The sequence below is a fragment of the Homo sapiens genome, chromosome 16 (assembly GCF_000001405.40).
Source record: "Homo sapiens chromosome 16, GRCh38.p14 Primary Assembly".
Lineage (NCBI taxonomy): Eukaryota > Metazoa > Chordata > Mammalia > Primates > Hominidae > Homo > Homo sapiens.
In genome coordinates, this window is record NC_000016.10 from 11,283,731 (window position 1) to 11,296,907 (window position 13,177).

The 13,177-nt window shown below is 47.2% G+C and overlaps 1 long non-coding RNA gene and 1 other non-coding gene across 2 annotated transcripts in view, besides 3 other annotated features; both read left to right on the forward strand.

The window, feature by feature from the left end:
- Positions 1-13,177, forward strand: part of LOC105371082 (uncharacterized) — a 146,190-nt gene that overhangs the window by 34,130 nt on the left and 98,883 nt on the right. The window lies entirely within an intron of this gene.
- Positions 2,377-2,877: an enhancer, noted in NCBI's record as "H3K4me1 hESC enhancer chr16:11379964-11380464 (GRCh37/hg19 assembly coordinates)". NCBI's record gives its function as "activates a minimal SCP1, AML or CMV promoter by ChIP-STARR-seq in primed H9 embryonic stem cells {active_cell/tissue: H9 hESC(primed)}" and the evidence as "EXISTENCE:reporter gene assay evidence [ECO:0000049][PMID:30033119]".
- Positions 2,878-3,378: an enhancer, noted in NCBI's record as "H3K4me1 hESC enhancer chr16:11380465-11380965 (GRCh37/hg19 assembly coordinates)". NCBI's record gives its function as "activates a minimal SCP1, AML or CMV promoter by ChIP-STARR-seq in primed H9 embryonic stem cells {active_cell/tissue: H9 hESC(primed)}" and the evidence as "EXISTENCE:reporter gene assay evidence [ECO:0000049][PMID:30033119]".
- Positions 2,926-3,075: an enhancer, noted in NCBI's record as "active region_10429". NCBI's record gives its function as "activates an Ori minimal core promoter by ATAC-STARR-seq in GM12878 lymphoblastoid cells {active_cell/tissue: GM12878}" and the evidence as "EXISTENCE:reporter gene assay evidence [ECO:0000049][PMID:35858748]".
- On the forward strand, positions 9,480-9,583 carry LOC124903805 (small nucleolar RNA U13). Its single transcript, XR_007065249.1, has one exon. It is a non-coding gene; the product is annotated as a small nucleolar RNA U13 (small nucleolar RNA).

Sequence of the window (13,177 nt, forward strand, 5' to 3'; positions counted from 1 at the left end):
GCCTCATAGTCCAAGATCAGGGCTGCCAGGGATGGTTGTGCAGTTTGTGTCCTGCTCCAAGCTCCCTGCCAAAGGGATTGAGTAGGGACTGAAATCCAGCCTGTGGTCTACTTGCCACTCCAGGCCCTGTACTCACAGGGAATGTTTCAGCCCATCGGAGCTGTCTTTTTCCTAATTTGCCTGCTCACAGCAGAAGTCTCTTCCAAATTTGAACAAAGGCACACTAAGGGCTAAACTTGGCCCTGCTGGAGTCCCACCCATATCCACCGTGCAAGCAGGAAGGAGAAAGAGGAGGGGTGGCAAAGGGAGTTCTTGTCTCTTTTTTAGAGACAAGGTCTAGCTCTTTTGCCCAGGCCGGAGTGCAGTGGCGCAATCATAGCTCACAGCAGCCTCAATGGAATCCTCATGGTATAAAGAGCTTTCCCAGATGCCCTGTCCAGCAACTTCCCCTTCTGATCACTGGCCTCCCTGCAAAAGCACACTGCCCCCTGGGGTAAAGCAGGGCTCCTAGAAAGGAGAAGGGGCTGATGGATACCAGGTAGACAGTTAGTACTCTCTTCCCCGAAGGGGATGGAGCCCACCCCTGACCCCAGCAAGATGGGGAAACCATGAATTTGAAGCTAAAGTCTATTGTCACTAAGAGGGATACAGTAGCACATAGTAGGTTAGCAGTAACTTTTCATTAATTGATTCAGATCTAGATTGAGGTAAAATTGTTACCCCCAATCCTCTAACACTTACTTTTTTTTGTTTGGTTGGTTTTTTTGTTTGCTTGTTTGTTTTTTAGATGGAGTTTTGCTATTGTTGCCCAGGCTGGAGTGCAATGACACCATCTTGGCTCACTGCAACCTCTGCCTCCCAGGTTCAAGCGATTCTCCTGCCTCAGCCTCCTGAGTAGCTGGGATTATAGGCATATGTCACCACGCGTGGCTAATTTTTGTATTTTTAGTAGAGACGGGGTTTCACCATTTTGGCCAGGCTGGTCTCAAACTCTTGACCTCAAGTGATCCACCCACCTCAGCCTACCAAAGTGCTAGGATTACAGGCGTGAGCCACCACACCCAGTCCAGGGTGACTATCAATCTTCGACATCTCATCAGGTTCCTCTGAGACCATGTGAGTTACCCTGTCTCTACTAAAAAGACAAAAATTAGCTGGGATGGTGGCTCTTGCCTGTAATCCCATCTACTCAGGAGGCTGAGGCAGGAGAATCACTTGCTGGGGTTACAGGCATGAGCCACTTTGCCCAGCCACAGAGATTAGTTCTGAGTTCTGGGAAGAGGATGCCCTGGAGCTAGGCGGTGGGGACATTTGGCCTCGTCTGGGATCTTGAAGCCTTCCGTGGTCATCTGAAATTTTGGGTTTGTCACAGCAGCTGGCTGTTACTCTAATACAGTACTTGCCACTCACTGATACTGTGTTTATAATTTGTCTCCCCAAGTGGGATGGAAGTTCAGTGAGACTTTCTTTTGTTCAGTGTGACAATCCTAATACTGAGAATAACCTGAACTAAAAGGAACTGAAATATTTGTTGAATGAATAAGTGAATGGCAAATGGATGCTTTGTATGATAGGATTCTTTTCTTGGCTTTTTCCAAATCTAAAATTGTGTTATCATGATTTTTAAAACGACGTTTAGCTTCTCCCTGCCAGCCACCCCACTTCTGTTGGGTATTGTCCTTGGCACTGGCGATTAGAAATCACCAAGACTCCTGCCAGTTAAACACACGCTGAGTCTCATAAGGGGACATCCAATACTGTTCCCTGAGGTCCTAATTGGGCAGCCACATGGCTTGTCCCTCTGCCGACCCCCACGTCTGTGTTGTCACAGTGGCCTCTCACCCCCGCCCTGTTCAAGGAAAGACATCACCAAAGGAGGAAGGCAGGGGTAGGGGATATGTGCCCTGCTGTGCCACTGGGAGGGGTGAATGCAGGCAGTTCATTCCCAGAATAATGAAAGGATAATTTAGCAGTAAGATGACAGTGTTTTAAATGTGCCATCATAGCCACAATTCCATAGTCAGGGATTTATCCCAAAGAAATTCTCCTGCGTGTTCATACAGGTGTGAGATGGAGGGTGTTCATTAAAGCATTGTTTGTGGGGGAAAATTAGAAATCGCTTAATGTTCATCTTAAGGAAATGGTAAATCAGTTGTTTCACCCATGTTGTGGAATAGCTCACAAGCATTCAGAACCCTGGAGAGTGATGTGATGTGGACTGATATGGAAGGAGGTCTATGCTATATCGAAACTGAGTGAGTTGCCAAAATGTAGGGTGTCATCCCATGTTTGTAAAAAGATTAGAAATTAACACTCACATACACAGAGGAAAAAGTCTAGAATGTGATACATTGACCTGACAGTGGGAGGTGGAATAATGGAAGGCTTCACTTTCTACTTTATTCATTTCTGTATTTTGGGGGGATTTTTCACTGTAAGGGTATGTTGAATGAGTTATTTCCATGAACAGAAAGAAAACAATGTCTGTAATCCTAGCACTTTAGGAGGCCAAGGTGGGTGGGTCGCTTGAGCCCAGGAGTTCAAGACCAGCTCGGGCAACATGGTGAAATTCCCTCTCTACAAATTATACAAAAATTAGCTGGATATGGTGATATGCACCTGTAGTTCCAGCTATGCTGGTGGGAGGACCACCTGAGCCCAAGGAGGCTGAGGCTGCAGTGAGTCGTCATCCCGTCACTGCATTCCAGCCTGGGCAACAGAGTAAGACCCTGTCTCAAGAAAAGAAAAGAGGCCAGGCGTGGTGGCTCACACCTGTAATCCCAGCGCTTTGGGAGGCCGAGGCAGGCAGATCACGAGATCAGGAGATCGAGACCACGGTTAAACCCCGTCTCTACTAAAAATACAAAAAATTAGCCAGGTGCGGTGGCGGGCGCCTGTAGTCCCAGCTACTCGGGAGGCTGAGGCAGGAGAATGGCGTGAACCCGGGAGGCGGAGCTTGCAGTGAGCCGAGATCGCACCACTGCACTCCAGCCTGGGCGACAGAGCGAGACTCTGTCTCAAAAGGGAAAAAAAAAAAAGTTGCAGAGTTAGTAAGGGGATTTCCATATACCTCTCACCCAGTCTCCCAGTCTCCCCCATTGTTAACATTTTACATCACTGGGGCACATTTGTCACAATTAAAACACCAACTTTGGCACATTAGTACTTACCAAGCAAGCTCTAGATTTTATTTGAATTTCACCAGCTTTTCTACTAATGCTCATTTTCTGTTCCAAGATCCAGTTCAGGGTGCCATACCCACTTTCTGCTACTATTAACATCTTATGTGAGGATAGTGCATTTCACAATTCTTTAACCAGTAGTGGTGCATTATTATTAACCAAAGTCTATACTTTCCTCAGATTGCTTTAGTTTTTCCTCAATGTTTTCCTGTTCCAGGATCCCGTCTCCCTTTAGGCTCCTCTGGGCTGTGACATTCCTGTCTTTGATCATGTTGACAGTTGTTTTGTTTTGTTTTGTTTGAGATGGAGTTTTGTTCTTGTTGCCCAGGCTGGAGTGCAGTGGCACAATCTTGGCTCACTGCAACCTCCGCCTCCCAGGTTCAAGCGATTCTCCTACGTCAGCCTCCCCAGTAGCTGGGATTACAGGCATGCGCCACCACGCCCAGCTAATTTTGTATTTTTAGTAGAGTTGGGGTTTCTCCATGTTGGCCAGGCTGGTTTCGAACTCCTGACCTCAGGTGATCCACTCGCCTCGGCCTCCCAAAGTTCTGGGATTACAGGCATGAGCCACTGCACCCAGCCGGTCACACTGACAATTTTAAGGAGTACTTGTCAGATATTTTGTGAATATTCCCTCTTCCTCTATTTTTGGAATAGTTTGATTGAGTAGGATTGGTAGTTTTTTTTTAGATGTTTGGTAGAATTCAGCAGTAAAGCCACCAGGTTCTGGGCTTTTCTTTCCTGGGAGACTTTTTATTAAGGCTTCGATCTCATTACTTGTTATTGGTCTGTTCACATTTTGGATTTCTTCATGATTCAATTTTAGTAGGTTGTCTGTGTCCATGAATTGATCCATTTCTCCAGATTTTCCAGTTTATTGGCATATAGTTGCTCATAGTAGCCACACTAATGGTGCTTTGAATTTCTGCAGTATCTGTTGTAATGCCTTCTTTTTCTTTTCTTTTCTTTTTTTTTTTTTTTTTTGAGACGGAGTCTCGCTTTGTAGCCCAGGGTGGAGTGCAGTGGCGTGATCTCAGCTCACTGCAAGCTCCACCTCCCGGGTTCATGCCATTCTCCTGCCTCAGCCTCCCGAGTAGCTGGGACTACAGGCACCCGCCACCACGCCCGGCTAATTTTTTGTATTTTTAGTAGAGATGGGGTTTCACTGTGTTAGCCAGGACGATCTTGATCTCCTGACCTCGTGATCTGCCCACCTCGGCCTCCCAAAGCGCTGGGATTACAGGCGTGAGCCACCGCGCCTGGCCTTTTTCATCTCTGATTTTATATCTTTAGGTCTTCTCTCTTTTTTTCTTAGTTAGTCTGGCTAAAGGTTTGACAATTTTATCTTTTCAAAAAACCAACTTTTTGTTTCGTTGATCTTTTGTATTATTTTGTTTCAATTTCATTAATTTCTGCTTTGATCTTTATTTCTTATTTTCTACTAATTTTGGATTTGGATTGCCCTTTTCTAGTTCTTTAGGATGCATTGTTAGGTTGTTGATTTGGTCAGGTATTTTGTAGAGTGTCACTCAATTGAGTTGTTTTCTTTTTTTTGAAATGGAGTCCCGCTTTGTCGCCTAGGCTAGAATGCAATGGCATGATCTCAGCTCACTGCAACCTCCCCCTCCCAGGTTCAGGTGATTCTCCTGCCTCAGCCTCCTGAGTAGCTTAGATTACAGGCAAGCACCACCATGCCTGGCTAATTTTTGTATTTTTAGTAGAGATGGGGTTTTACCATGTTGGCCAGGCTGGTCTTAAACTCCTGACTTTGTGATCTGCCTACCTCGGCCTCCAAAGTGTTGGGATTATAGGCATGAGCCGCTGTCCTTGGCTTCCATTGGGATTTGACTGATACTTTTCTCATGATTAGACTGGGGTTATGTGTTCTGGGAGGAAGAGCCAGGAGGTGAGTGCCCTTTTCCTCACGTCCTACAAAGGGGACGTGCTCTCAGGAGGACTAACTTGATGCCTGGCTGAGGCAGTGCCTGTCAGGTTTCTTTATAGCAGAGCTACTGTTTTCCCCTGCATTTGATACTGTGCTCTTTGGAAGGAGGTCACTCTGTGCAGCCCATGCCTAAGGAATGGGGAGTTAAGCTCCACCTCCTTCAGGGCAGGGCATCTTCATCACTTATTGGAATTTTCTACCCTGGAGATTTGTCTCTTCTCCATTTATTTATTCATTCATTTATATCAGTATGGATCCATGGATCCTGTATACTTTGGGTGTAATCCAATTCTACTGTATTTTGTTGCTCAAATTGTTCCAGCATTGGCTACTGGATGCCTTTCAGTTATCTCCCATGTCCCTGTGACACACTCCATCATTGTGAGATTTTGAGCACTTCCTTAACTTTCTGGCACCACAAGATGCTCCAGGCTCATCTTGTCTGTTTCCTGTCTTAGACCTAGAATCAGCTGTTTCTGCAAGGAGCCCTGGTTCCTTTCATTGGTGAATGGTATTAGAAACCAAGATCAGGGTGCAAGATGTGCTCAGGGCTGTAGGGTGCTGTTGCTTCTTGGCCGTCTTAGCGGACAGAGCAAGGAAATCTGTGTGTGTACTAACCTGTATGTACACAAATCTATATTTCTATAGGTAACCATCTATGGTACTGTTTTAGCTAAACCTGTTCATGCTAACATCTCCAACTCTAATCCATGGTCATCACATGGATCATTCTAAATACCTCTCCTTGCTCATCTGTAACAGTGGGAAGCCTGGCTCCTACCATCCTCCATCCATTTACTTAGTTGTTCCCTTTCACTCTGCACGTATGGTGGCTTTAGAATTGTTAACCTTTCTAAAGGCTGGGTATGGTGCCTCACACCTGTAGTCCCAGCACTTTGAGAGGCTCAAGCAGGAGGATCACTTGAGCCCAGGAGTTCGAGACCAGCCTGGGCAACATGGTGAAACCCTATCTCTACAAAAAATACAAAAATTAGGTGGGCGTGGTGGCGCAGGCTTGTAGTCCCAGCTACTCGGGACTGAGGCAAGAGGATTGCTTAATATGAGAAGTTGAGGCTGCAGTGAGCCATGATCATGCCACTGCACTCCAGCCTGGGTGACAGAGCTAGACCCTGTCCCCCCAACCAAAACAAAAAACAACAACAAAAAACCCCACCTCACCCCTGATACCTTTCCAGTCATTCATTTATTTATTGAATGCCCTCTATGCTGGGCACTGTTTTCAACACCATGAACAAAACAAAGATCCCCGCCCTCGTGGAGTTATGTTCTAGTGCAGGAGATGAGCAAAACAATAAGAATGATAGATGGATAAACGATACTTTATATTGAAAGGAACACAGAAAAAGTAGGGCACAGTGAGAACCCTTGGGCCTGATGGAGGTAACTGGGACAAGTGGCAATTCAGGGTGCTCAGGGCAGGCCTTGTTGAGAAGGTGACATTTAAGCAGATTTTGAAGGCAGTGAGGGAGTTAGTCATGAGGACATCAGGGAAGAGTGCTCCAGGCAAGGGGAACATGATGGGGTGGGGACAAGGGGGGAACAAGGGGAACCCTGGGGTGGGGATGCACAGCCCTTCTGCTGTGCCCAGGGAACAGCAAGGCCAGCATGGCTGGAGCAGAGAGAGGTGGGGGTTGGTAGGAGATGAAGTCACAGAGGTGGGAGGGGGGCACCACATTATAGGTGGCCTTGTCAGCCTCCCTGAGGATTCGACTTTTACACCAAATGAAATGGGGATCGTAAGAGTGACACTCTTTGTCTTAAGGACCCCTGTGCTCCTGTGCTGAGAAGAATGTAGGGGCAGATGTGGAGGCAGGGAGGCTGTTGCTGTCACACAGGCCCAAGGCTGTGGAGGCTCACACCAGGGTGGTAGAGGAGGATGGTGAGGAGTGGTCGGAATCTGGTTGTGTGTTAAAGATGGGGCCAGCAGGACTCACCAGCAGCCTGGATGAGGGGAGCGATAGGGACAGAAGAGTTAAGGCTGGTTTCGAGACTTTGGGCTCAAGCATCTCAAAGGATAGCATTGCCACCAACTCTAATGTATGGAGAAGGCTTGGGAGGAGGGTCCAGAATTCAGACATCTCAGTAGAGGTGTCCAGTAAGTAGGCAGCTGAGTATCTGAGTGTGACATTTAGCCTGGAAGTGATATATTTGGGCATTGTCAGTGTTTACAATCAGGAGACTGGCCAGGATCACTGATTTAGTTTTTGCTGCTGCTGTAACAAAGTACCATAAACTTTGTAACTTAAAACAGCACGAGTTCATTATGGTTTTTCGCCCCCAACTCTGTCACCCAGGCTGGAATGCAGTGGCATGATCACGGCTCATTGCACCCTTTACTTCCTAGGCTCAAGTGATCCTACCTCAGCCTGCTTGAGTAGCTGGAATGGAAGCCTGGCTCCGTGTCCAGCTACTTTTTTTCTTACTTTTTGTAGAGAGAGGTCTCCCTGTGTTGCCTAGGCTGGTCTCAAATTCCTAGCCTCAAGCGATCCTCCCGCCTCGGCCTCTCCAAGTGCTAGGATTACTGGTATGAGCTGCTATGCCTGTCCTATTATCTCACAGTTCTGCATGTCAGAATTTCAAAATGGTCTTAAGGCGCTAAAATCAAAGTACCAGCAGGATGACATTCCTTTCCAGAGCCTCTGGGGGAGAATCTGTTCTCCGCCTTTTGTTTTTCCTCATGTTTCTAGAGGCCTCCTCCTTGGCTCATGGCCCCTTCCCTTGTCTTCAAAGCCAGCAGTATAGCCTCTTCGAATCTCTCTCTGACTCTGGCTCTCCTGCCTCTGTCTTTCCCTTATGAGGTTTCTTGTGATTACACTGGACCTACCCGGGTAATTCAGGACAATCTCCCCATCTCAAGGTCCTTCATTTAATCATATCTGGATAGTCCCTTTTGCTACATAAGGCAGCTTATTGACAGGTTCCAGGGATTCACACATGAGCATCTTTGGGGCCATTATTTTGCCTACCTCAAGCACGAAGGGGATGATGGAGAGGAAGAGAGTGCCCAGGACCAAGCATTAAGAAGTCAGGAGCTGGCTGGGTGCAGTGGCTCATGCCTGTAATCCCAGCACTTTGGGAAGCTCATTTGGGCGGATCACTTGAGGTCAGGAGTTCAAGACCAGCCTGGCCAACATGGTGAAACCGCGTCTCTATTAAAAATACAGAAATTAGCCAGGCATGGTGGTGCATACCTGTAGTCCCAGCTACTCAGGAGGCTGAGGCATGAGACTCGCTTGAACCCAGGAGGCAGAAGTTGCAGTGAGCTGAAATCACGCACAGAACTCCAGCCTGGATGACAGAGTGAAACTCCATCTCAAAAAAAGAAAAAAAAAAATTCAAGAACTCAAGAGTTTGAGACCAGCCTGGCCAACATGGCAAGACCCCATCTCTACAGAAAATACAGAAATTAGCCAGGTGTGGTGGTGCACACTGTAGTCCCAGCTACTCAGGAGGCTGAGTCAGGGAATCACTTGAGCCCAGGAGATTGAGGCTGCAGTGAGCTGAGGTCGTGCCACTGCACTCCATCCTGGGTGACAGAGCAAGACCCTGTATCCAAAAAAAAAAAAAAAAAAAATCAGGAGCTGAGGAGGAGCAGCTAGGAAGGTAGGAGGAACCAAGAGACCTGGGTCCAGGAAGCCCGGTGGACAAAGGGCACTGGGGAGGGGGTAAGCAGCAGCTGTGTCAATCACATCAGAGGTCGACTCAGAGGTCACCCATGGACATGGCAATGTGGCAGTTACTGGCGACCTTCAGAAGAACAGTTTGTGTGTAGCAGTGGGGGCCAGGCAAACCTGGTGGGAGTGGGATTTATTTATTTGATTTTAATTATTATTATTATTTTTTTTTTTTTTGAGATGGAGTCTCGCTCTTCGCCCAGGCTGGAGTGCAGTGGTGCAATCTTGGCTGACTGCAACCTCCGCCTCCCGGGTTCAAGTGATTCACCTGCCTCAGCCTCCAGAGTAGCTGCAACTACAGGTGCCTGCCACCACGCCTGGCTAATTTTTATATTTTTAGTAGAGACAGGGTTTCACCATGTTGGCCAGGCTGGTCTCCAACTCCTGACCTCAGTGATCCACCTTCTTTGGCCTCCCAAAGTGCTGGGATTACAGGCGTGAGCCACCGTGCCAAGCCTGGGGGTGGGGTTTAGAAGGAACACTGGCCACTCTTTCAAGGACTTTCACTGCCAAAGAGAACAGAAAAACGGGAATGTGGCTGGCAGCGTAACTGGGCCGGGAGAATATTTGGTTTAGTTGGGGTTTGGTTTCCAGCGGGACAGCAGAGCAGGATTGTTTGCTGGTGGGAATGTGCAACAACAGAGAATGACAGATGAGGTGGTTTTGTGGCTCCCAAGCACGATGGTCTGGTGTTCACGAGGGTGTGTAAGATGCACCTCCCTCAAACCTTGTTACAAGGTTGGCATGTTACCCGTCTGATGTGAAAAAAAAAAGAAAAATAGACGAGACTGAGGAGGGAGTTGTTTGATGAATAAATGGATCACACCACACTTCTGCAACTTTTGTTCACTTAACCACATATCTCAGCAACATCTCCATGGGTAGTATTGCTCCGAGCAGTTCTGCTTGATTCTGCTTGCATAAATCTATCCTGTTGATCAGGGTCAGTAAATAGAAAGATAATGCAAGCCAGGCAGGTAAGGTGGCTCATGCCTGTAATCCCAGTGCTGTGAAAGGCCAGGGCAGGAGGATTGCTTGAGGCTAGGAATTTGAGACCAGCCTGGGCAAAATAGTGAGATCCCGTCTCTACCCTCCTCCCCCGACCAAAAAAAGCCAGGTGTGGTGTGATGCTCCTGCAGTCCCAGCTACTTGGGAGGCTGAGGTGAGAGGATCACTTCAGCCCAGGAGTTCAAGGATGCAATGAGTTATAATTGCACCACTGCACTCCAGCCTGGGCAACAGAGTGAGACTATATCTCAAGAAAGAAAGAGAAAGAGTAGAGAAAGAAAGAAATATAATGCAAGAAACAAATGTGAGCTCTATGTCATTTAAATGGTGTTTTAATGTTTTATTTAACTCAGTATATCCAAAATATCATCACTTCAAGTGGTCAATATAGAATGGTTGGGCTACTTTACATACTTCTCTTCATACCTAGTCTTCGAAATCCAGGGTGCATTTCATCCTTACAGTGCACCTCAGTTCAAACAAGCCACGTTTTAAGTCAGTGGCCACATGTGACTCGAGGCTCTATTGTGGTCAGCACAGCCCAAAAAAAACTCACATAGCTTTGGGAGGCCGAGGCAGGTGGATCACAAGGTCAGGCGTTCAAGACCAACCTGGCCAATATGGTGAAACCCTGTCTCTACTAAAAATACAAAAATGAGCTGGGCGTGGTGGTGGGCGCCTGCAGTTCCAGCAACTCAGGAGGCTGAGGCGGGAGAATCACTTGAACCCAGGAGGTGGAGGTTGCAGTGAGCTGAAATTGTGCCACTGCACTCCAGCCTGGGTGATAGAGCAAGACTCTGTCTCAAAAAAAAAAAGAAAAGAAAAAGAAAAGGATCTCACATAGATGAGCAGAGGCTACATACGAAACAGATGATCGCAGTGCTGCTGGTATAACCACAAAGCTAGAGCCAGCCTCACTGTACCCTGGCATGGGGCTGACAATGTATATATTGTGGCTTTTTGCTTTTAAAAGCATTAAAAGGAAACATTCATTTGGGTTTAATTCGTTTATTTAAATTTTTTTTTTTTTTTTTTTTGAGACAGGGTCTCGCTCTGCTGCCCAGGCTGGAGTGCAGTGGCGCCATCTCAGCTGCAACGTCTGCCTCCGAGTTCAAGCAGTCCTCCCGCTGGGACTACAGGTGTGCAACACCACACCCAGCTAATTTTGTTTATTTTTTGTAGAGATAGGGTTTCATCATGTTGCCCAGGCTGGTCTCGAACTGCTGGGCTCCAACGATCCACCCACCTCAGCCTCCCAAAGTGCTAGGATGACAAGTGTGAGTCACTGCACCCAGCCTGAATCATTTTTTAAAGAGCATGTGTCCATTAAAAATTATTTTAATGAAGCTTCTCAGGCATTCAAAGTATCTCATCTCCAATCCCTGGCTTAAATTAGAAAACAATCTCGGCAGATTGGAAGCCCTCATTTACCCCTTCCTTCTGTCATTCCCATCCCTCCTCTCCCTGGACACTGGTGTTTATCGATTCGAAGTCCATCTTTATATGTGTAAGTATGTGTCCCCAAATGATCAGAATACCGTTTTGAGGTGTTGAAAGCTTTGTGTCCCCGAACAGTGAGAACAGTTTTGGGGTGTTGAAATCTTGGTCTGGCTTCACACTCTATGTCTCACATAATAACTTGCTTTGTCGCTGAGGGGTACCTGAGTGAGATTCATCGTAGATGCCTGGATGAAGAGAGGGGCCTTGCGCTTCTATTTGCCTTGTTACATAGTGGTAAGTTACATATTATGTTACATAGTAATCCTTATGTGCCTACCTTGTAACTGTCTTAATTGCCTCTTGTTTTTTGTGGGGGTTTTTTTGAGACAGAGTCTCACTCTGTTGCCCAGGCTGGAGTGCAGTGGCACAATCTCGGCTCACTGAAACCTCCGCCTCCCAGGCTCAAGTGGTTCTCATGCCTCAGCCTCCTAAATTGCTGGGACTACAGACATGCACCACCACGCCCAGCTAATTTTTGTGTTTTTAGTAGAGATGGAGTTTGGCCATGTTGGCCAGGCTGGTCTCGAACTCCTGACCTCAAGTGATCCACCCACATCAGCTTCTCGAAGTGCTGGGATTAGAGATGTGAGCCACCATGCCTGGCCTTCATTCCCTCTTGATGGACACTTGGGCTGTTTCCAATTTTCTGCCATTATAAACAGTGCTGCTGTGGCTAGAATTTCTCTGGAATATATTCAGTGGACTAGCAGTTCTCAAATTTTAGCATGCACCAGAATCACCTAGAGGGCTGGTAAAGACACAAGGTTCAATCTAGAATCCCACGTTGCATTTACGCTACTACTTTTTCTGTTTTTTCCTCTTAAAAATTAAAAAACAAAAAATAGAAACGGGTTCTCACCATGTTTCCCAGGCTGGTCTCAAACTCCTGGGCTCAAGCAATCCTTCCACCTCAGCCTCCCAAAGTGCTGGGATTATAGGCGTGGACCACCATGACCAGCCCTATTCCTTTTTAAATTAATAGTAATAATAAGCAAACCTGGAAAAGACCCCACACGTCCAGAGGTGTTCAGGTGAGGAGTCGGGGGAAGGATCATGAGACAGGATCAGCGTCTTGACCCAGACTTGCTTGGGCCCTGCAAGGACCTGTGGGACCTCTGGGCCCCTCTCACCTCCAGACAGGGCGGCTCCTCCCCACACCCAGCTGGGTGGAGTGGGTGACCTATCTATACTGCTGGCCCTGTGGGCCCTGTAATTAGAGAGATCTACTGGAGTTCAGCATCTCTATGACCTAGGAGAGTCCCTACAAAGAGTCTCAGGCTTCCCCTCTGTGGAGGAGTCCAGGGTGGGGGTGAGAGGCTCTGAGGGGCTGCACTCAGAACCTGGGTCTTTCATTTATTTGGCAAATCTTAAATGTCCCAAGTATTCACCAAGCCTTGTGCTGGTGCTGGGGGGACAGCAGAGAGCCTGACACTCCCAGGGGGCTCCTCATCAAAGGGGAGGCCTACAGTAAACAAATAATTACACAAATAAATATAGAAAATGAACTGTCACTTGGGGAGGCGTGGGTCTTGGAGTGGGGTTTTGAGGTGTGAATAGGAGTTCACAAAGCCTCAGAGGAAGGGGAAGGACTACGTTATTCATAAAAATCTCACTGGAAATGAAAAACACTTTGAGGGTTCCGCTGTCTGTTGTCAGACTACCCAAATACCATTGCCAGGAAATTCCAGCAGGCCCACACAGCAGAGCGGTCCAGGGCCAAATAACTTCAAAAAGTAAAATTAGAAAAGCCTCTCTGAAAAGTAGCTGTACACCTAAAGTCTATGTTTAATGTGGCCCATAGATGTGTTTTGTAGGTTTGCTCTGATGTGGATTGGGGTCCCCCAAGC